The sequence below is a fragment of the Homo sapiens genome, chromosome 15, assembly GCF_000001405.40.
Source record: "Homo sapiens chromosome 15, GRCh38.p14 Primary Assembly".
Taxonomy (NCBI): Eukaryota; Metazoa; Chordata; class Mammalia; order Primates; family Hominidae; genus Homo; species Homo sapiens.
Window position 1 is genome coordinate 77,771,325 of NC_000015.10, and position 23,822 is coordinate 77,795,146.

The 23,822-nt window shown below is 54.7% G+C and overlaps 1 protein-coding gene and 1 long non-coding RNA gene across 10 annotated transcripts in view, besides 2 other annotated features; one reads left to right on the plus strand and one right to left on the minus strand.

Annotated features, from left to right (window-relative positions):
• Positions 1-23,822, minus strand: part of LINGO1 (leucine rich repeat and Ig domain containing 1) — a 207,874-nt gene that overhangs the window by 158,298 nt on the left and 25,754 nt on the right. For 2 of the 9 annotated variants that reach the window (NM_001301195.2, XM_024450091.2), the window contains exon 1: positions 15,545-15,725. The exons of the other annotated variants lie outside the window; for them this stretch is intronic. The gene's annotated coding sequence lies outside the window, so the exon portion shown is untranslated. Of the gene's footprint in view, positions 1-15,544; positions 15,726-23,822 lie in introns of those variants that run through there. 9 annotated transcript variants of the gene reach the window in all.
• Positions 12,934-13,517: an enhancer, noted in NCBI's record as "H3K27ac-H3K4me1 hESC enhancer chr15:78076600-78077183 (GRCh37/hg19 assembly coordinates)". NCBI's record gives its function as "activates a minimal SCP1, AML or CMV promoter by ChIP-STARR-seq in naive H9 embryonic stem cells {active_cell/tissue: H9 hESC(naive)}" and the evidence as "EXISTENCE:reporter gene assay evidence [ECO:0000049][PMID:30033119]".
• Positions 13,593-14,094: an enhancer, noted in NCBI's record as "H3K4me1 hESC enhancer chr15:78077259-78077760 (GRCh37/hg19 assembly coordinates)". NCBI's record gives its function as "activates a minimal SCP1, AML or CMV promoter by ChIP-STARR-seq in naive H9 embryonic stem cells {active_cell/tissue: H9 hESC(naive)}" and the evidence as "EXISTENCE:reporter gene assay evidence [ECO:0000049][PMID:30033119]".
• On the plus strand, positions 15,812-17,353 carry LOC141374963 (uncharacterized). Its single transcript, NR_199613.1, has 2 exons — positions 15,812-15,923; positions 16,565-17,353. It is a non-coding gene; the product is annotated as an uncharacterized LOC141374963 (long non-coding RNA).

The following is a 23,822-nucleotide window of genomic DNA, read 5'->3' on the forward strand; positions in this document are numbered from 1 at the left end:
TTCCAGATGAGGGAACGAGACTTGCCCAAGGTCCCCAGTGATAAGGGCCAGGGCTGGGCTCTGACTCCGGCACATTGATGTGGAGCCACTGGACACTGACCCCACAGTCTAGTGTCCCCATGCTTCACACTATCCCAGGTCAGGGCAAGAGTCTGCAATAGACTCCTCTGACCTACAAAACCAAGGGTCTGAGAGCCACTGAATCCCCAGCCCTAGGATTCTCCACAGCAAGTTCTCGGATCATGGGAAAGAAGCCTCCAACCTGGTCCCGGCCTCCAAGACCCCCACCAAGTTCCGTAGATAAGTCAGTGCTCATGGGCACACCCGAGGAGGAGGAGACTGCTGGAAGCTAGGCTAGGAGGCTGGGGTGGGGCCCAGGAAGGAATGGGACTCTGGGAACTCCAGAAGCCTTGGCCACCCCCCGCCTACATGTCGACAGGGTGTTGTGGGCAACTCCACAGGGGCAGCAACTAGGGAAGGGGCAGGCCTGGGCTCAGCTCTGCATGCCTGTGGACAGGATACCTGCTCCCCTTCCTGACTCTGGTCCTGGCAGGCCCCGAGGTCGCCTGCCCTCAATGGCCCTGAGTTTCTCCTCGTTCAGAGGTTGGGCCATCCCCCTCCAGCCTGGCTCCAAGGTCTGGTAGACTCATTGGAGGGATCACTCTCTGATTTAGAGACTGCAGGGAAGATGGGACACCCACCTCCACTGTGTACCCCACCTCTAGGCCTGCAGCAAATGCCATTCAAATAGTACCCTCCATACAGAAAGAGGAACCTTGGGCCTCCTCCCAGGCCAGTGCAGCCACAGGTGCTCCAGGGCCAAGGCTGGCCAGGGCTGGTAGACTCCACCTGGCTTATCTAACCTGAGCTTCCTCTCCCTGTCCCTGAGAATGACCTGGGTGGATGGTCTCCCACCAGGGTCAGGCAGTGAGATGAAGTGCTAAGAGTATGGAGTTTGGTGTCAGGCAGCCTGGGTTCCAACCTCACCCACCAACCCTTAAAATTCCAGGGCAATTTGGGGCAAGTCTTTTAACTTCCCGTAACCTCGGTTTCCTCATCCGTAAGAGGAGGGTGCAAGCACTGGCCTCCAGCATCCCCGAGTGTACAGGAGCTCAGCGTGTGAGTAGGCAGACGCTGCGGCTCAGAAGGTGGGAATTCTGACTGCTCCCTGAGCAGTCGGCCTCCCCAGGTCCTGCCAACCTGACACCTTGGCTTCCGCTGTCAACGCCCCAAATCCATAGACTCGGCTGGGGGCTGGGGTGGGGGGTCTATGGTTTAAAATAAAGCAGAATCTACCTCTCATTAAAATGAAATTTGTCACCTCTATCATAAATTGTCCTTCTCAGCTGCAGAAAAAGGTCCATTAACACATTTTTTTCCTTCTCCAAATGAGGTGAGAGTGGGTAAGTTTGAAAATCCCTGTGGACAGTAATAAAGCCAGAAAAGCCCTCTTTCCCCCCACCTCCAGCTGCCTGCCCCCAGCAGCCAAAAACATCATCATAATTATCTGTCTGGGAGCAGGCTCAGGGGGCGCGCCTTAGCATGGTTCGTTAAGGCGCTAATTAGCAGGAACCAGCTTCGGCTCTGGGGACTGGGAGGCCAGGGGAGTGGGCTTCAGTCTCTCCCTCCCCTCCTACCATCCGTCAAGCTACTACCCACTCAGCCTCACCTGGTCTATGGGCATCTGCTCTTGGGTGACACCTGGTCGAGAGCCAAGGCGGGTGTCCCCCATGGCAACGGAGAATAGGCTCATGGAGGGAGGAGAAGGTGGCTGTGGAAAGGCCAGAGAAGAGGCTGCCAAAATGGAGGCCCCAGAGCCCAGGTCCCTGCCATAGCCCTATCCTATAAGGCCTCAGTCTCCACATCTGAGCAATGGGAGGCCGGACCATGTGACTGCTGAAGATCCATGGGACTCCTGGGAGGCTTTGGCATGTTGCAGCAGGCTGTGGGGGAAGAGAGTTGCCAGGAGCTCTGAGCAATTTCAATTCCAGCGTTATAACAATGTGGCCAGCATGAATGAACACCCACTGTGTGCCAGGCTTGAGTGAAATGACTCACTTGACCTTGACACAGCAGCCCCTGATGTTGGCAGAGTCCCGACTTTACAGATGAGGCTGGTCGCAGTGAAGTTAGGTGACAGCTAGTAGGTGAGATTTGAACCAATGCAGGCCAAACTGTGCCTGGCCTCCTGTGCCCCTCCACCACCCTGGAAGCCCATCCCTCCCAGCCCCGGAGTCCAGCCCCAGCTCCCTCTCCACACAGGAAGGCAGGTATGACTCCAGCCTGGGCACCTCTCGGCACAAGCGACCCTGGAGACAGAAGCTGACCAAGGCCGCCCAGCACTGATACACAGGCTCGAAGGCACTTGCCTGGGGTCACACTTGCCTGGGGTCACACAGCCTGGGCCGTGAAGATTTTAAGCATATGACCTCTCTCTGACTTTGCCCAGGGCAAAGCTTCTCTTCCAAAGCCCTCAGCCTGGGGACCTTCCCAAGGAGCAGTGGCCTTCTCTGGCTGTCCTACCTACTCAGGGGTCTCTGGCCCCCCACTCTCTCCCTTAAGTCCTGAGAACATCCCCTCAGGCTCCTGCTGGTCCCCACAAACAACATCTCTCCTCAGTCCCACACCACCAGGGCTCCAAAGGGGACACTGGGTCAGGAGTTCCTGGAAGGGAGCAGCAGTTGCAAGTCCCCACATGGGGAGCCCCTACCCACCCACTGCCCTCCTTGGCTGCACAGCTCCTGAGGACAGGGGCTCCAGGGATGCCATGGGCATCGATGCCCTCTACAGGGAGAATAGGTGAGCGAGGCTGGAGAGCCCTATACCTCTCCCAGGTGTGGGGGCACAGCCTAGAGGGTGGTGAGTGTGCACGGAGGAAGTTAACTCAGATCCACAGGTGAGCGGGGGAATGGGGGTCTTCATTCACATCAAACAGCTGGCACTGGCCTCGCCCAACTGCCAGATACCCACTTGGTCCCCAGCCAGACTCTGCCAACAGCCCTCAGCCCTCTGCCCACCTCTCCCAGGGCCTATCTCCCCTCAAGCACCTTCCGATCAGATTCCACCTCAGAATCGAGAAGCAGCCCCCACCAATTCCACTCCCAGCCCCCAGACACCACAAGCAGCGGGGCACCCTACAGGAGCCCTCTCCAACCCCGCCGGGAACCCCACGGGAACTCCATGGGCTGCTCTGTGGGATCACGCATGGCTGCCCACACTTAGTGCACACACACAATCCCGGGTGCCTGATCCCCAGCAGGGCATGAGCCCAGTGGCTCAGCCCACCCACCACACAGAACCCATCAGCCCACCCACCACACAGAGCCCATCAGCCCATCCAGTTTGGGGCCCAGGGTGGTGATGTCAGTAATGAGAGCAGCAGTCTAACAGGGTTGATGGCCATGCAGCAGAAGGAGATGAAAAGAAGCCTCCTGACCCTGTATTGGGTCCTGACCCTGGTCATGAGGTCATCAGTGGGTGCACCTGGATTTCTATCCACGTACAGAGAAGAGTGCCCAAAAGGAGCTGGACTCGGCAACCAGCCTCAGTGCCCAGTGTTCTCCCTCCACAGCCCTGCACCTTCACAGCCTCAGTACTCCTGCATCCTGCCCCGGAGAGGCCAACAGCTCCAGCTAAATTCACACAGCAAGTCAGAACCTGGCTGGGACTAGAACCCACGTCTCACGTCGCCTGGGGCTGGGCCTCAGAGGCGATGCATGTTGAGGGTGGCAGAGCCACAGGCCTGATGCTCAGACGTGGGTCATCCTATTGCAGGGAACTGGGGATGGCAGCACCTCGGGGCTAGAGGGATAGGCCTCCAACCCGCCCCTTTCTCCACCAAGAACTCCCTCTCCAGTCTCCTTGGCCATGGCCTTCAAGCCCCCACTTGATGATAGCAAGGTCACCTCCACCCAAGGCAGCCCATCCATCTGAAGCTCTAATTGAGATTCCCCTCCCTGGACCTGGCTCTGCCCTACAGCAGTGGGTGCCCACTGCAGGCCCAAGTTTGGGGCAAGGCTTCCAGGCCCTTAGACATTCCTAGACAGCAAGTGCAGCCCCTGAGCCTACCACTACCCAGTTTGCAGGTCCCGGTCTCTCCTGCCTGCCACCTCCTGTTACTGTCCCTGTGGGCTTAGGTGGGGCTCAGAGTGGAGCATCAACTGGCTGGGTGGCTGAAGGCCAGCTCCTCCCTCTCTCTGAAATGAGAAGACTTAAGGAAAGCCTCGGCCCCAGCAGCTCTGGTAGTGTGGGCCCACCACACCCAGCTCTTGACAGGGTCGTGCACAGCAGGCGTGACTGGGCCATCCTCTGCTTCCTATCACACTCATTGCTCCTTGTCATACAGCCTCCCATGCCTGAGCCGAGGCTCTCCAGCCCACGTCCCTCTGTCTGTGCCTCTCTAGACCCGGCCCAACATGGCTAAAGAGTTAGTTTCCTAAGTCTGAAAATTTCTCCCAGCCAGCTTGGCCTGTCTCTGAGGTTGGCCCTGGGCCATAAGCCAGAGGCTGGAGGGTCTCCCCAAACCCCACACAGCAGCGGGCACCCCACTGCCCCACACACACGCAGTTCCAGGCCTTCGTTCCTCCGTCAGCATCCCCCCCATGCCCTCATTAGCACAACCTGATGTCTCTGAGCCCCAGGCCTGGTGAGTTACAGCCCATCCATCCCTCTCAATGTCCTCGTCACCGCCTCCATGGACCCATATTACAGCATGCACATCTGTCAGCCTGTGGCCGCCACCACCACGGCTGTTTCCAGGGAGACAGTCTCCGTTTATGACATTACCCAAAAGCCCAGCCCCTCCCTCCCCCTCCCAGCTCCTCCCCCTGCCTCCCTTTATGGGGACAGAGATTTGGGCTGTAAATATTACGTCTTCCCTGCAGATTCTAACAGGGCCTGAATACATTGCTGTTCCCGAGGTCATCACAACCACAAATGCACTGCCATAGCTGTTTGGGCACATTAAGGCATCACTCTGACTGCCCTGGCCACCCTCCCTGCCATGCCCAGGGCCCTTCCAGCACCCCCTCCACCATGGATTCCCTCCTGCCCTGCAAGCCTTAAGACAGAATCTGCTTATGGTGGAGGTGGTCTTGGGGGCAGGTCACCTGTCCCGGGGCTTTAGCAGGAAGGCAGGAAGGCAGGAAGGCAGGAAGGCAGGAAAGCAGGAAGGCAGGAAGGCAGGAAGGCAGGAAGGGAGGAAGGGAGGGAGGGAGGGAGGGAGGGAGGGAGGGAGCTGACTCTGGCAGAGCCCTCAACTTTGGGGCCGCAATATAACAGGCCCTTTGCATATCAGCCACCATGTCCTCCATGGCTGTGCAGGAGGCTGGTGTTATGAAGAAGAAAACAAGCCTCTTGTTCAGGGTCCCACACCAAGCTTGAGGCAATCTGGGATTTGAAACCAGATCTTTGGACTGCAAAGCTCCTTCTACCGCAGCCTTGGCCCTCAAGGCCAGAGGGTTAAGAGCTGACACATTCTAAGCATTGTACATATTTTAACTAATATAAGCCTCATTAGACCCCATGAGGTCAGCACTGCTAATACACTCATTTTATAGACACGACACTGAGGCATAGCCAAGGCCACCCAGCTTCTAGGTGGAAAAGCAGGATTCAAAGTCAGGCAGGCTAGACCCAGAGCCTGGCTCTAAAGACTTTGCTTAGAGCCACTACCAGCCTGGCCAGGTGGGGTATTCCCACCATCTAGGCAAATCTCAGTCCCGTGCCAGGGCCCACCCTGCAGAGACGACCCTCATTGCTGACATAGCACTACGGGAGGAAGCTCAGGAGCTGGGCCTGCCACATGGAAGGTGCTCACCCCAGCCTTTCCCCAGCCCCAGCCTCAATTACAGGGGATAGTGAGGATCAAATATTTATGGTGCGGTCAACCAGCCAGTGGTGTGTGGTGGTATTATTGATTACTGTCGTTGTTATCATGGTGGGGGGGTCCAACCCCATCACTGTAGGCCTTCTGACTTCACACGCCACAGCACAGGCGCACACACTTGCCCCTCCCATACACACACACACACACGCATACACATATACACACACAAATACACACACCACACACACATATGGACACACACACACAACTGGGTTTTGGCCCAGTGAAACAGATTTTGGACATATACACACACGCACACACACACACACACACACACACACACACACACACAGCTCAGAACACAGTGCGAGTGCACGCCATTCACTCTCCCTCCAGGCCTGTCACTGTATTAGTGTCCTACTGTTGCTGTAACAAATCGCCACACACTTGGTGGCTTAAAAACAAAAAATTTTATAAACAGAAATTTATTCTCAGCCAGGCTCAGTGGCTCATGCCTGTAATCCTAGCACTTTGGGAGCCCGCGGCAGGAGGATTCTTAAGGTCAGGAGTTTGAGGCCAGCCTAGGAAACTTAGACCCCATCTCTCCAAAAAGTAAAACAAACTAGCCAGGTATGGTGGCACAGACCTGTGGTCCCAGCTACTCAGGAGGCTGAGGTGAGAGGATCACTTGAGCCAGCAAGGTTGAGGTTGCCATGAGCCATGATTGTGCCACTGTATTTCCTGTCTGGGCAGCAGAGCAAGACCTTGTCTCAAAAGAAAAGAGGAAGGAAGGAAGGAATGAAGGAAGGGAGGGAGGGAGGGAGTAAGGGAGTGAGGGAGGGGAGGGGAGGAAAGAAGGAAAGAAATGTATTCTTTCACAATTCTAGAGGCTAGAAGTCCAAAATCTGTTTCACTGGGCCAAAACCAAAGTGTTGGGGGGACTGGCTCCTGCCATAGACTCCAGGGGCATATCCATTCCTGGCCTCTTCCAGCTTTTGGTGACCACGGTCATCCCTTGGCTTGTGGCCACATCACTCCAATCTGCCTCTGTGGTCACATGGCCTTCTCCTCCCTTGCAGTCAAATCTCCCTCTGCCTCCCTCTTATATGGACACTAGTGATTGCATTCAGGGCCCACCCAGGTGATCCAGAATCATCTCCCCAGCTCAAGATACTTAACCACCACTCTGCAAAGACATTTTCCACGTAAGGTAGATTTCACAGGTTCCAGGGTTGCGGGCCTGGATATCATTGAAAGCCACTGTTTTGCCTGCCACAGATACCTGCTCAACACCGCATCCCAGACAACTAACGGGCACATCAAACTTCACATGACCACAGCTGAGTGCCTCATTTCACCCCAGCTGATTTTGCTGACTTCCCCTCTCAGATCAGATAGGTTACTCCCATCTTTCCAGCTGCCCAAGCCAAAAACTGTGGGGCCAATTCTTTCTCTCATCCTGCAGCAGATCCACCATCAGCAAAGCCTGTTTGTTGAACTTTCAAAATCTATCCAGAATCAACCACTTCTCACCACTCCACGGCCACCAGCACAGACCAAGCCACCATCTCCCTCCGGGATTATTTCAACAGCCTCCCCCTAGGGCTTCCTACTTCTGTCCTGCCTCCCACAGTGTCCTCCACATAGCAGCCAGAGGAATCCTTAAAACCCAAGTCATGGCATGTCACTCCTTTGCTAAAACCCTGCGGTGACTCCAGTCTCACTCAGAGCAAAAGCCAAAGCCCTGAGAGCGATCTCCAAGTTCTGGACCCATCTGCTCCTTGACAACAATTCCTCCCCTCTCTTACCACTCACGCCCACCGCCTTCTCCACCCATTCTGGCCTCCTCCTTCTCCCCTGGCTGCTCCTCACACAGGCCAGGCACACGCCCACCTGGATGCCCCTGTTTCCTCTGCTTTGAATGGTCTCCCCAGGCTTCCATATGGCTCCCTGACCTCAACACCCCACTTTACCTAAAAGTCTCCTTCTCAGAGAGGCACCCCCACTGCTGACATTTCCTTTCCCCACTTCTCCTTGTATTTGTTTCTCCTTGACATGATCACTACCTAACACAGTACATATTTTGCTTATTTATCTTGTTTAATATCTCTCTCCCCCACTACAGCAGTCCCCAACCTTTCTGGCACCAGGGACCAGTTTCGTGGAAGACAATTTTTCCACAGCCCAGGGTTGGGGAGATGGTTTTGGGATGATTCAAGTGCATTACATTTATTGTGCACTTGATTTCTATTATTATTACATTGTCATATATAATGAAATAATTATACAACTCACCATAATGTAGAATCAATGGGAGCTTTGAGCTTTTTTTCCTGCAACTAGATTGTCCCATCTGGGGATGATGGGAGACAGTCACAGATCATCAGGCATTAGATTCTCCTAAGGAGAGTGCTACCTAGATCCCTCACATGCGCAGTTCACAATAGGGTTCTCGCTCCTATGAAAATCTAAAGGCTCCACTGATCTTATGGGGGCGGAGCTCAGGCTGTAATGCAAGCTATGGGGAGTAGCTGTAAGGACAGATGAAGCTTCACTCGCTCACTACTGCTCATCTCCTGCTGTGTGGCCCAGTTCCTAACAGGGCCAGTCCCCCGGGGGTTGTGGACCCCAGCCCTACTGGAAAGCAAGCTCCATGATGACAGCCTCCCAGATCCTAAAACAGTGCCTGGACTAGGAGGTGCTCGATAATATTCACCCATCCATTCACCCTGTAGGCTAGCATGGAGCCAGGCACCAGGAGGATACTGGAACCCAGTGGTGAGCCAGACACCGCCCCTGATAAGGACCATCCAGGGTCTTACACACAGTGACGGGGAAGCCCAGAGTGCCACAGAAGCTCAGAGGAGGGAGAGATCAACTCAGCCCAGGGGGCTGGGGACAGCCATGCTAAGGAGGGCTTTACAGGATAAGTAGGAGTTCACTGGCTTGAAGAGACAGCTTCGCAGCTGGCAGGTGGAATGGCAGGTATGAACACCAAGAACAAAATAGTAGAATGTGTTCTTGACACAGGGGAGGGTATAAGAAGTGAGGCCAGTGGGCTGGGCAGGAAGTACTTGAGGGCCTTGGAGAGCAGGCCAGGGGAGTTGAGCTTCTCTCCATGGACAATGGTGGGCCACTGAAAGGGAGAACATGGCAGGCGTGTGGGTCTGAAGGCTCCCCACTCAGATGGCCAACACGCAGCCTAGGCATGGGGAGAGGCTGGGGTACAGGGCCCACCTATCATACACCAAGGTAAGGGGTTGGAAATGCCCCCAAGTGCAGCCTTATCTGGGAAGCAGCTCAAGCTACAGTGTCATTATGGAGTGTCTAGTATGCCCAGGCCTGTGCTGGGAGGAGACCTTGCGGAACATTAAACCAAATAGTTTGCAACACAATGCCAGCCTGTGTGGATGCAATATCGTCAGAGGACAGGAGTGCAGGGGTGGCATTATGGACTAAACTCTGTCCTGGCAAATTTATACATCCAGGTCCTAACCCCCAGTGAGACTGTATTTGGAGTAAGGAGGTAATTAAGGTTAAATGAGGTCACAAGGATGGAGCCCCAATCTGAGAAGATTAGTGTCCTTATAAGAAGAGGTACCACATAACACTTGCTCTCCTCCCCCCACCCCCACCATGTGAGGACACAGCAAGAAGGTGGCCATAGGCAAGCCAGGAAGAGAGCCCTCCCTCTGACCCCGACCATGCCGGCACCCTGATCTCAGACTTCCAGCCTCCAGAACTGGGCTTGTGTGGTTCAAGACCCTGAGTCTTGGTATGCTATTGTCACAGCCCGCATGGACTAAGATAGATGAAGAAGTCAAGGAGAGCTTCCTGAAGGAGATGAGGTTTTGGGCTGTCATAGCAGAGAAGACAAGCCTGGGCTGACTGTACCTTGGACACCGCAGACCTGGCCAAGGCCCATCCTTCAGCCAGCCCGCAAATCCTCAGTGATTTCTTTGAGATTTAATTTCTCTGCTGAGGAGCACAGGGACAGTCCCCAGATTGATGGAACTTTTCATCTTGCGTAAAGTCCAGCCGGTTCCCTGAAGGCATGGGTAGGGGGCTGGAATTTCTGGCTCCTGAGCACTGGATTCCAGTTTTCCTCTTCTGCCTCCAGCAAAGGTAACTCAGCCAGGCCGGAGCCAGCCAGGAATCAATGTGCAAAAGCCTCCCTCTCACCCAGCTCCCACGCCGAAGGAGGCTGCTTGGAAGTGGGGATCTGAGCTGGGCTCTGAATGGCAGCAGTGATCAGGAATGCAGTGAGAAGCTCTATAAATAAATATACATTTTCATAAGACATGTTTAATTAAAGTGGATTAAAATTAATTTGCTTTAAGAAAATTAGAAGTGCCCTAGAGGATTTCAGAAGCAGGCCAAGAGTCCCTGAATCTAAAGGCTCCTTAGAAGGCTTGGGGGTGGGAGGCCCCCCAGTCGCTGCACGTGGTGCCTCAGAAGGAAGCAGCTCACATCTACATCACACTCCGCACTCCGTACACCACCAGGCGTGTTCACATGGAGATGGCAGGTGTGATCAGCCCCATGTTTGCCAGGCAGAAACTGAAGCTCAGAGGGGGTAGTGACTTGCCCAAGGTCACACAGTGGTCTGTGGCAGGCCCAGTGGGGAGCTGCCGGTGTTTTCTGCCAGTCCTGGACATTTCATTCATGCTTCGCACACCGAAAGCCTCTCTCGCCCTCAGGGCCCCCGGCCAGAGCTGCTGCCTCCCAGGTTCCTCCCATCTGCAAAATGGTAGCCCTGGAGCTGTGACAATCTGGCTCCTCAGAGGCCCCGCATGGGAAGGCAGAGGGAAGCAGCCTGGGGGTTGGGGACAGGAGCCAGAAAGGGAAAGGACCCGAAATCAACAAGCGTTCCAGAATTTTAAGCAGTTTTTGGAGGAAAACGAGGAGCAGGTTCAGCTGTAGCAATTTGCTCCTGGGGAAAATTATGTTCCCGTGCTCTATTATACAGAACAGAAGGAACATTTGGTGGGTTGAATACTTGTTAATTTATTTCTCTGTTTGTTAATGGGCTCCACACGATGCTCAAGTGTGCGCACGCGTACACACACACACACACACACACACACACACACACGTGCCCGCATACACATGTGCGTCAGCAGGAGGTGGCTCTAGGCTCCCACTCCCCGAGTTTTCCTGCCACCTTCCTATCAGGCACCACTCAGGGTCTTGCTTTCTCCGCTCCACGCAGGGATCTGAAAGAAGGCCACGTGCAGTCTAAAGACTGCGGTGAGCCCCTCAGTGTCCTCATCTGAAAAATGGGCTGGCAATGAGATGACCCACATATTAGGGCAAAGCCTTTGACCTTGGACCAGAAGTGAGAAGGTCCCCGATGCTGACCGAAGGCCCGATGCTCCACTTGCTTGGCTTACTGGCTCCTCAAACCCGGCAAGTCCAAACCAGGATGCCTGCACCTCCACCTGCGCCATATTCCCCATCTCAGAAAACGGTGCCACTTGGGCCAAATTGAACCCGCCCCGACCAGGACTCTCAGCCTTCCCACCCCATAGCCACTCTCCAACCCCTTCCCCAGCCACCCACTCTTCGCCATCTGCACCCCCACCCTGTGGCCACGACTCCACCTCTCTCCTGGGTCCCTGCACCCACCTCCCCTCAAGGGTCCCTGCTCTCCCTGCCACAGCCTCTAATCCATTCTCTCCACCCAGAGGCCAGAAAGGAATTTGGAAAGCACAAATCAGGCCCTGTCACTCACTGGCTTAATCCCCTCCAGAGCACCCCCCTGCTCCTCAGCAGGGCGGCTAAGGCTGTTTCCCACCCCTGTCCCCGCTCTCTCCCTCACTCCCCACCCACCAGCCACACTGTCTTCCTCCTGGTCTCCAGACACAGCCAGCTACTTCCCACCTCCCAGCCTTTGCCTTGACATTCAGCCCCTTCAGCCTCAAAGTCACCTCTTCAGAGAGGCCTGCCTGGATGCCCATCGCCTGGATGCCCATCGGAGCTGCTCATTCAGCCCCAGCCACTCCCTATTCCACGGCCCTGTCGTTTCCCTCCCGAGCTCAGCACAGTCTGAGGTTACCCAAATTACCTGTTTGCCATGCTGTCACTCCCTCAAGATGGGAAGCTACCTGAGGGGAGGAGCAGTGTGCATAACGTTCTAGCTGCTGGGGATACAGTGCTTCATAGGTGTTTCATCAAGTGATGAGCGGGTGAATGAAGGTGTGAATGAAAGGGCAGGCTGGCTCCAAGCCAGACGGGAGAGGTGAGAAGGATCAGGGTCCCTGCTCCCAAAGTCTCCTGCCCCTACCTTGGTAGGGCCTCAGCACCTCTTCTGCTCAGGAAAGGGAGCAGGTGGGGCTGACATTCATGGAACAGAATCTATAATCAGGGCCCTTTTCTCTAAACAACTTCATGAAGCAGCTACAAGGAAGCAGAGAGAACCAGGCTTCACCCCTCTGAGCCCGGTTTCTTCGTCCATTTAATGGGGATAATCCCAGGTCCCAACCTCTAGGACGGCTGTGTGGATAGATGAGACTGTATCTCAAAACCGTGAGATGCTGCTGCTGCTGCTAAAACGAATCCCATGTCTTATAGAGGAAGAAGCTGGAGAGATTGTGGGAGTTGCCTGGAGTCCCAGAGTCAGAAAGCAGGGAAGCTAGACCCAAATCCAGGCTCGCCTGACTCAGGAGCCAGTGCTTTTTTTCCTCGGTGCTGGACCCACTCCAGCCGGGAGTGGGAGGTGGGATACAGGAAGCCTTTCTCCGTTTGCACCTCAGTGGTGTTCATTTATGTTCCTGGGTGCAGACTGACTTTGCCTCGCCTTTCCTCCAGGTTTGGCACAGAGACATTAGGAAGCTGGGAGGGCTGGCCAGGGAGGACGGTGCTGCGCCCACCCCACTCATCCCCGAGGCAAGGGAGCTGGGGAGGAGGCAGCTGCCCAAGCCTGGGACAGGTAAACTGAGGCATGCTGAGAGACAATCTGTCAGGACCCTCCTTTGGGTGGTCTGAGGTGGGGGGACTGGCAGGCCGGGGTCTCCGGGAGGTCCCAAAAGGAAGAGTTGGTTCGCATAGCAGAAGAGGAAGAATTGGCCTCCAGCCAGCACCTTCCCCACCCTAGCCAAAGGCACAGAGCCAGCAGGAGAGAGCAGAACTCAGAAGGCCATGGGGCTCTAAGGACACACGCAGGGCCCACTCAGTCCCACTCAGGCCAGCTTGTGAGGTTGGAAGGTTGTCACTGAAGGCCAAGAGGCTTACAGGTAAGGCTGCCCTAGCAGAGACCCTGCCCAGCAAGCGGCTGATGAGGGATCGTGCTGCAGGCAGCAAAGGTAGCTTCCCTTTGCAGCCAGTGCACATTAAGAATTATTCCTCCTGTGAGCAAACAATTTGTTACAATATCCACTGCGCACTTTTCCCGGCTGGGTGCCCTCCCATACATCCTGAATTAATCCCTGAAGTCACTCCATTCATTTAGGACATGCCTGAGTGTGCCTCTCCTTTTATTAGGGAAATTTTTCATTGTTTTGAGGAGCTCATAGGTTTTAATTTGGAGCTGAGATTTTAAAGCCTCTCTCGGTGGCTCAGAGGCATGAGTAGTCTTACACCTGGGAAGGTCCCCTGGGTTCTTAGACCTGGTAGGGCTTGGCTGGGGCCACCAGACCCCAGGGAGAAGGGATCATGGCACATGCCCTCCAGGGAGCCAGGTACTGCAGACCCCAGCGCTGTGTGGCATTGGATCACTCCCTTGACCTCTCTGAGCCTCCCTAAGAGAGGCAAAGCCAAGGAAGACTGCATACTTGGGTATAGCTCTTCCAAGCCTGCCCAGGGAAGTCCGGGGTCATCACCTCTAAAATCCACAGCCCTGGGGAGTAGCATGGGGCCACTGAAAAAGCATGATGTGTGGAGTTCGATTTGAAACACGGCCAGGGCAGGCCAGTCATTTGCCTCTCCCAGTTTCCAGCTCCTTAGAATGAGTCTAAGAGCCGGCGCCCTCTCCAGGCTGTCATGCAAATTACACAAACCCAAGTTGGGAGTGAGTCTGACTCAGGGCCTGGCACACAGTGGGTGCTCCACCAAGGGTGAGCCTCCCAGCCCTCTCAGCCCACTGCAGACCCCTCCCACATCTCCCTCTCTTGGCCCTCAAGCAGCCAGAGCCCCTAGTTCACACATTTTGGCTGAAGGCGGCCCGCAGGCTGATCTCCACAGGTGGGGTCCTGCCAGTTTGGGCAGCAGCCACCAGCCTCTTCCCAGGCCTTACACAGGCCCTTGCACTTCCCAACTGAGGCCCTGGAGCGTGGGCAGTCCTGTCCACAGACCCTATGCTAAATCCTGCCCCTCCCTGCAACCCCCAGGTAAGGCTGTGTCCCAGGACCGTGGCTGCATGTTTGCTGTCCCCCTGCCCTTAGTCAGGAGACAGTGGTCCCACCCCCAACTCCTGGTCCTCTACCCCGACCAGGGCTCCAGGGCTGGGACCTCTCAGGGCTCTGACCCCCAGCCCCCAGCAGCTCTCAGACAGCTCATGCCCTGTCCTGGGCTTGCTCCTCCTGCCTGATCTTTGTTCACACTATTCCCAACCACACGTGCTCTCTGTCACTCTCTCCCACCCCCAGCTTCCCCAAATCCTCCCGAGCTCTAAGGACCAGACACCTCCAGGAAGCCCTCCCTGACTTCCCCAGCTTTTATCTCCTTCCCTTTCCTGAGGCTCACAGCATTTCTCCTTGATCCCTCTAACTTCATGTTGCTATCCAGAGGCAAGGACCATGTCACCTACTCATGATGTGGCGGCCAACCCCAGGCAAATCCCACTGTGTACCTAGGGAGGACAGGCTCATTCAGTGAGGCGGGGGAAGGGCACAGAGAACTCCCACTGAGGGAGTACAACGCCTCCGTGAGGTAGGTATCATTATGTCCATTGTGCATATGGGAGAAACTGAGACTAGGAGAAATGAATCACTTGCAAGAAGCAAGCAGGGCTGAGACAGGAACCAGCACCACCAAACAGTGCCGTTAAGACACAGCCCACAAATCCAGGTTCCACATGCAAGACCCACCAGCCCTGGGCCCAGCAGGTTCACCTGTGCCATCCCAACTGATCCTCACCACCCCTCAGGGAGGTTAGTATGCCACTTGGGAGGAAAAAGAGGTCCAGAGAGCCTGAGTCACTTGCTCAAGGCCACCCAGTAAGTGGCAGGGCTGGGACTTGAATCCAAATTATTTCAGCTCCCACTTGGTCAGGGCAGCCAATCAGGACACCTCACCTCATCCCGCCCACCACCCCTGGGATCTGCAGGACCCATTCTCCCCTCCCTGGTGGCCCAGACTGCTGGATGGTCCCCAACCCCAGGCCTCTGGGGAGTGCCTGCGTGGCTATTTGACCTTTCAGAGGGGCCGGGCTCCTACAGTTCTGGATATTTACACAGACGGCCTCGGCTGCAATGGCGCCTGGAAAGTAGGCCATGCAGAGGAGGGAGGGGATGGCAGGTATGGGCTACAAACACTCCCGCCGCCCTCCATGCCGCCTGGACAGAGGAGCCACCCGTGGCACCATCTCCTCGAATGACCTTGGCAACTACTGGGGCAGCCTGTACTGGGGCAGAGTCAAAGCCTGGGCTGGCCACTGAGGGGAGGGGCTTGGCCAATGTCTCCAGTTCTTCTTTGCTTAGTGACCTGGAGGGCCCTGGAGGACAGAGGATGACAAGTCCTTTCAGCAAGAACCCCTCTCTGCATAAAGGGTCACCTCACTTCACAAAGCCTCTGCTTCCTCTTCTATAAGAAGGGTGGTGGTAGCTGCCTCTCAGCTGCTGTGAAGATGGGAAGCACCCAGCCAGGCCTGGCACTTTCAGGGCACTCTGCACACTGGTCAGCCCCGCAGGACCTGAGGCTGAGCCTCTCGTGGGACACCCGCAGACACTCAGCTCCAACTGGGACAGACCCAAGAGTCTCCCAGGAAACCAGCTGGATCACACTGGGTGGGGGTGCCTGGCTGAAAGGCAGGTAGACACACCCAACAAACAGCAACAAAACCACCCCTGTGAGAGCACAGCATAGCAGGTGTGGCATGGGCACCAGGGAGCTGGGATCTCAGAAGCCAAAAGGACGCCGCCCCCATCCAGAGCGCACGGTCGGGCCTGCGTCCACTGCCGCATACCATCCTTAGCAAATCCCAATTCGCCTCTCCCACCTGCCCCCTCCTCTACCCTGGCTTGAGGCGAAGAGCCAGAGGAGCCTGGCAGGGTGCTCCCAGGATAGCTGAGTGTTAGGAAGTGGTCAGGCACTGATAAAACCGAGAGCCAAGCAGGACAAGAAACACAGCTGCAGGGAGCCTCCGGGAAGTGTGCAGAGGCTAAGCACAGGGTGTGGGCCAGAAGGACACAGGGGTCCCGGTGGAGGGTTCCCACGCATGCGGCTCAGGCTGGGGACTGGAGGGGGCTTCAGGGCTGTGGGGGGTGGGGGTGGGAACAGTCCCCTCCTCTTTGCCCTCCCCATGCCAACCTCCCTGCCAACCGCTGAGCGGAAAAGCGTTCCACTCCTTTGCCACCCCATCCCACACGAGGCCGGTGTGCCCATCTTCAGCGTCCCCACCTCCTTGCTGGCAGTTTAGGCTCCACTCCAACCCCAGCTCAGCCTTTTTATTATTCAGAAGAGCCTCTTGATTGAAAAGGCCTCTAAGGCATCTCACAAATAAGAATCCTTTAATTGGGAAGTTGTTAACTTCTCAAAGAGGAATTTTAATTTTGCTTCCTCACCATCTCCTCTCCCCAGAACCTGCAGACTAAATGCAAAGGCTAACAAAGCCAAGCACCAGGCAACAGCTGCCAACCTCCCGAGACGTGGAGCTGTCCAGGGGCAGAGACAGGAGAGGCAGCCTCGTGCCACCGCATAGAACCCCGGAGCCACACAGACCCCTGGAGCCCCACCAACTGTGAGAAGGCTCCTGCCTCTCCCCGTGGGCATGCCTGCTCCATACCCCTCCTTACCACCCCAACCCACAGCGAGACACCTGGAGTGGAGGACGGCAGGTAGCTCAAAGATGAAGGCGATGATAGCCCCGCCCTGCCCTGCCTGGGCCACCATGTTTGTCGGGTTCTCAGAGCCTAAATTCAATGATTCAGTGATTGCCCCCTATAACCCCCTCTGCGGCCCTCTATCATACTCCCCTGGATGGGCCACTCATATTTATCAGGCATTTACTATGTGCCAGACACGGCTCTAAGCCCTTTACATGCCTCAACCTACTTTATCCACGCAAGGTAGACGTTCTCATTATTCCCAGTTGGCTGACGAAGAGACTGAGACCCAAAGGCCTTAGGGAAATTGTCTAAATTCACACCACTGATGCGTGGCAGAGCTGCGACTGAGTCCCGGGAGTCTGGCTCCAGAGTGGTCATAACTTCAACTACCACCTACACCTGCTGCCCCACCCATGGCCTCGGCACTCCTTGAGGGCCAGGACCAGGACCACCTCTGTGTCCCTGGAGACAGCACAGAGTCTAGCATGCAGCTGAGCTTAATAACTATTTGCAAAGTGAATACATGAAAAAAGAACAAAAACAAAGCACCTTCTTATTCATTCTCTCCTGTGAGCCTAACCATAGGCCTGTGACAAAAACAGGCAGGCAGACTAGTCCCCAGTTCAGTCCGGTAGACCAAGGCCCAGAAGTCGAAGCCACTACCTGAGGGCACCCTGCTAAGAGGCGGCAGAGCTCAGGGGTTCTTCCTCCTAACCCAGTGATGGGAACCTGCCTTTCACCCAAAGGATACGGGGATTGGATCACGACAAGTACACACCATGTACCATGTTCCTGGGCCCCGATTAACATCCCAGGCTGAAACTGGTCTCAGGGAAGCCCTGGTCCTGGCCATGAGGTAGGAACCTCCTCTCCATGTCCCTGACAGCTTGGGGCGGCCTCGATACTCCTCCTGTGCACCCCACGGCATGAGATGCTCACCACCGCCAAGGCTGCCAGTGGACAGTTCACTGCTGTGAAAATCATAGCTCTAGTCGCCTGCTGTTAGGGATTGAATTGTGTGCCTCCAAAGATGACATGCTTAAATTCTAACCCCCAATACCTCAGTATGTGATCTTATTTGGAAATTGGGCCATTTGAGATATAATTAGCTAATTAGGAAGAGGTCATACTGGAGTATGGCGGCCCCTTAATCCAATACGACTATTGTGCCCATAAGAAGGAGGCATTTGGAGATACGGTCTAAATTGTTAAATACTGGCTGGGTGCAGTGGCCCACAGGCAAGTGGATCATCTGCAGTCAGGAGTTCAAGACCAGCCTGGTCAACATGGTGAAACCCCATCTCTACTAAAAATACAAAAATTAGCCGGGTGTGGTGGCGCATGCCGGTAGTCCCAGCTATGCAGGAGGCTGAGGCACGAGAATTGCTTGAACCCAGGAGGCAGAGGCTGCAGTGAGCTGAGATAGAGCCACTGGACTCCAGCCTGGGTGACAGAGTGAGACTCCATCTCAAAAAAATAAATAAATGATTAAATAGTTAAATATTGTATGGAGAACAATTTGGCAATGTGGCCATGTAAAGAGACACGGGGTAGCCATCTACAAGCCAAGGAGAGAGGCCTGAAACAGATCATCCTTCACAGCCTTTGGAGGCAACCAGCCCTGCTGACACCTTGGGGTTTGGGGATTTGGGGCTTTGGGGTTTTTTTGAGACAGGGAATTGCTCTTCACCCAGGCTGGAGTACAGTGGCTCAATCATAGCTCATTGCAGCCTCAGCCTCTCAGGCTCAAGCAGCCTCCCAAGTAGCTGGGACCACAGGTGTGTGCCACCACGACCAGCTATTTTTTTTATCTTTTGTAAAGACCATGTCTCGCCATGTTGCCCAGGCTGGTCTCAAACTCCTGGGCTCAAGCGATCCTCCTGTCTCAACCTCCTAAAGTGCTAGGATTACAGGCATGAGCCACAGTGCCCAGCCCCTGCCGACACCTTGATTTCAGACTTCCAGCTTCTAGAACTGTGAGACGATCCATTTCTGTTTAAGCTACCCAGTTTGTGGTACTTAGCTATAGCAGCCTAGCAAACTAATACACCCACAGACCTGGTTTTAGTGCTGACTTGGCCCCTCACATTGGGACACTGGACACACCCCTGCCCCTCTCTAAACCCTAGTTTGTTCAACTTATCCCCAGAACACTGCTTGGCACATAGTAGGTGCTTAGTAAATGCTGGCTGGAAGAATGAACAGGAATGGCAGCACCCACCTTCCATGTGGCTGTGATAAGGAGGAGATGGGATGTAGGATGGGCTGTGTTCTGGAAATACTAAAGCTCTCGACACCTGTAGCGATGGCTGGAACAACAGACACACAGAGGGGCTGGGTGGTGTGGCCCCAGCCAGGGCCTGAGGGTAAGGGCCAGGGTGGGGGGTGGTCTTCCAAGCCCTGCACTGCTCCATGAGTTCTCTTCTTTAAGAGAAGACTGGGGAGGCACAGATGAGAACAATGCCCTGGGGAGGCCCCAGGAAGGCAGGGGTGGAGGGAGGCAGGTCCTCCACCAAGCCACAGACATTGCTGAAATCCCCACCACGTGCTGGGCCCCCCGCTGGGTTTGGGGGGGTGGAAAAGGAGAGCTTCCAGATGCTAAACATAGCTCCTGCCCCATGTGGACCCTAGAGCCATCCATGGAGACTTCAGGGAGGCGGATTCAGCTCAGTCAGTATAAGGAAGAGCCATGTAAGAGCTCCCTCCAGGGCCTGAGCTGCCTTGGAGAGAGTGAGGTCCCTGTCCCTGAAGGTGTGCAAGTAAAGGTCAGAGGACCACGATCTCAGGGATACCTATACTCCCTCATCATGAGCTTGGGTTGGGCCAATGGGTTCCAACCTGGCTGACCATCAAAAGGTGACTATGGGGCTTGTGAACCATGCAGATTCCTGGGTTCTCCCAGCAACCCTGGATCAGGAGGTCTGGGTGGACCCCAGATGATTCCTGTCTCTAATAACATCCCTGGGTGGTCCTGATGCAGAGCCAGGCTTGGACACCCTGGCCCACAGAGCACCATGGTTTGAATGGGATTCTGTTTGGGAAGAGCTTTGACAACAGTACTTGAGGGTGGGGCAGCAGGCAGACAGGAGACATGAGGGACAAGAGGATGAGGAGGGCAAAGAGGAAGACAAGCTGAGGATCATGACATTGCTGAGTTGGGGTGACCAGACAGGATAGCTCACCACAAGCCATGAGGCCTGGGGGAACAGGCGAAAGGCACACGTGGACACGCAAAGAGGCCGAGGGAGGCGGGGGGTCAAGGGAAGACATTCTGGAAAATGTGAGATTTGCTGGTGGTTAAGAAAGCATTCTACATGGAAGGTGAGGCTGAGCCTGGTGTGTGGGGGATGGAGGAGGAGAGTCACCTGTTGGAAAGAAGGGCGGGGAAGAAAGTGTGGGCTTGAGGCAGACCATGAAAGGCCTTGTACAAGCAGGAGAAGGATTCTGGATGTCAACCTTAAACAACAGGGAGCCACTGAAGGTTCTTGAGGGGGAACATGACCTGGAGGAAGGCCTGCAGTAGTCCCCACTAGTAGGGCTCAGAAGGGCCTGGCCTGCTCCAGACTCACCAGTTAAGAGTCCCTTACAAGAGGAAAGGGTGAGAGGATTAGGCCTAGTACCAGCCTCACACTTCCTGCTGACAGCAGCCGTGACAAGTGTTACAGAATGATGGTGCCATCCATTAGGCCACTTGGGAGGAGCAGCTGGGAGGGCGAGCTGGTAGCAGTTTCTCCAGGCTGGTAAATCAGGGGACCTTGTCTGCAAAGTTAGAGTAACAGCCCACCCAGAAGCAGGAAGCTCCCCAGGGCTGGATTCACCCCAAGCAATGAGGCCCAGATTTCTTCTCTACATCATCTTGTCCAGGCTCAGAGGCTTCAGATACCACCCAGATGCTGACTCCCCACACAACTGCCTCTCCAGCCCAGCTCTTCCCGCAGCTGCAGGCTTACTGTCTGTGCAGCCTCCCCTCATGATGCCGGCACCTCAAACACTTCCAAGCAGGATCTTGCTTCTCCCTCCAAACCCACGCTCCACCCCTGTTCCTCGGCTCGGGCCAAGGCTCCAGTGCCCGCCCCATTCCCAGGCTGGCCCTCTCCCAGTCCACAGCCCATCCTTCAGCAACGCCTTCAAAGTCTCCAAACGCAAGCCCTCCTCCCACCCAGGCCCGGCCCCACCACCTCTGGTCTGGACTGATGCTGGGGTCTCCCACTGGCCTGCCAGCTTCTACTCTTGCCCACCCACCCTACAGTCCTTTCTCCAGTAGGCATCACTCTGTAACTCCTGGCCCTGCATGCCTCGTTTCTCAGCCCCTCTTCCTCAAGGGCTGCCCAGCTGTGAGGGCCTCTGTGCTGGTCCCAGCTCCAAGCCCATCCAGAGCTCCATAAGGCCTACTCCCTCTCCTCAGGCCTCTGCTGAAATGGCCCCTCATCCGAGAGGACTTTCCTGAGAAGGGCTCCAGAGAAGGGCTCCAGAGAAGAGCTCCGATTTCATGCCTGCCCCCTTTTCCAACCTTATTTTTCTCTGTGGCATTTATTACTCCCTAATCTTATATTACGGATTTACTTATCTGGTTTCTTCTGTCTACTCTGTTACAATTTAGGCTCTATGAGGGCAATGCCATGGTCTAACCTATTCACCCATGGATGCCATGCTGGGCACAGAGAACAATGCCTCATGTGTAGCAGGCGCTCAGTGAGTATGCGCTGAAGGAAGAATGAACAAACCACTGCACATTCATCCTTGGGAGAAACAGGCCCACACCCATAGGTGATCCCAACCCAGCACGACAGCAGTGCTGGGGCCAACAGATGTGCACAGGGAGGGTGGCACTAGGGAGAGGCCATTAGCTCTACCCAGAGGTCAGGGGAGCTTCCTGGAAGAAACGACAAACCACCTCCAGCCTCCTCCCTGGCCCTCCAGGGTCCCTGTCATAAGCCACCCCCCAGTGAGGGGATGAAGGAGAGGCTGGTCTGACCAGCTGTGCTGACCCAGGAGTCTGTAAGTATTCAGAGTTGGTGCCTGCATCCCTCCTGCCTGGCAGGAGGAGACCTGGGCAAGGCTCCCCAGAGAGCAGAGGGTCTTGGTTTAAACACCACGGATCCCACCACTGAGGGAGGGAGAGGTCATCTGGGATCCACAGCTTTGCCTACCCTTTCCTCCCGAACACACAGCATCCTGCCTCTTCCCCTCTAATCACTGGAGCACCGAGGGAGGGAGCAACAGAAGCAGGGGCAGCAAGGACAAACCTGAGCTTCCTCCAGGAGTTTAGAGCTTTGCTGAGTGAAGCTCCAATTCCTCAGCCTCCGGTGCAAGCCTCCGGTGCTCCATGCCAGCCCTGGCCCTGCCACTCCCCAGACACACTCCAAACTCCCCTACCACTGCACCTTTGCTCAGGCTGGGCCTACCCTGCCACCCTAAACTTTCCCTGCCTGTCACAACCCTACATCCATGACTTTCTTCATCCAAGCATTATTTATAATGACAGAACATCAGAAACCATCAAAATACACAACAGAGAATTGGCTAAACGCACTATGGTACACGCAGGCTGAAACATTACACTGCCATTAAAAATCACATTATAGAAGAGTATTTAATGATGGGAAAATAATCTTGGTATGGGATTAAGTGTAAAAGGCAAGTTAGAAAACAGTAAGTACAGCTTGATCCCAATTATGTCATAAATACATGTTTTGTAGAAGACTGACGGGCTAAACACCCAAGCGCTCACACTTTTCTATAGAGAACACACATTACTTTTTTTATAACCAGAAAAATAAAATGTTTGAAAAGCACCTTACAGACTTCAAGGCTTAGCCCAGGTGTCACCTGTTCCAACAAGCCCTGCCAGACCCCCAGCTGACTGTGGCCCTCCTGCCCTGCGTCAGCTCCCGCCTGCATCTCCCCGCCCACTGAGCTCCCAATGCCCCCGGGCTGTGGTGCCTGTGGGTGCTGCCGTCTGCCTGGGCAGTGGGGAGGCTGCTCACGCTCCTGCCCCCTGCCCTTGTCACCCCAGTTGCTGCACAGACAATCCTGACGCCATCTTCTCACCCATCTCTCAGCAGCAATTACAGGTTAAACTGGAGGGACTAATTAGTTGCTCATTCTACCCAGAGCCAACTAATTAGCAGAAACATATACATATATATATATGTATGTATATATATACATATATGTGTATATACATACATATATGTATATACATACATATATACGTATATATGTGTATATACATACGTATATGTATATACATACATATATACGTATATATGTGTATATACATACGTATATGTATATACATACATATATACGTATATATGTGTATATACATACGTATATGTATATACATACATATATACGTATATATGTGTATATACATACATATATGTATATACATACATATATACGTATATATGTGTATATATACACACACACATATATATATATATATATATTTTTTTTTTTTTTTGAGACGGAGTCTCGCTCTGTCGCCCAGGCTGGAGTGCAGTGGCGTGATCTCGGCTCACTGCAAGCTCCACCTCCCGGGTTCACGCCATTCTCCTGCCTCAGCCTCCCGAGTAGCTGGGACTACAGGCGCCCGCCACCACGCCCTGCTAATTTTTTGTATTTTTTTTAGTAGAGACGGGGTTTTACCATGTTAGCCAGGATGGTCTCGATCTCCTGACCTTGTGATCTGCCCACCTCGGCTTCCCAAAGCAGAAATATTTTGATGGTGCTAACTGGGCTTCGGAGCAAGGCCTAGTGCCTGGGAAGGAAATCCAGGCCTCCGCTCCCACCAGCTTCCCAGTGTGAGGACAGGGTTGGCTAAGCCTCAGCCACATACAACCGTCACCCTATCCCTCAGGAGAAGGGAGTCCAGGCCTGCCACCAGGCTTCTTCATCTGAAAAATGAGGACAATACGCCAGGCCAGCCTGCTGCCCTGAGCCCACCCCACCGTTCCCTCTGTTTAGCAAAGTCCCTCTGCAGCCCTCTCATGGGTGACAGAGGC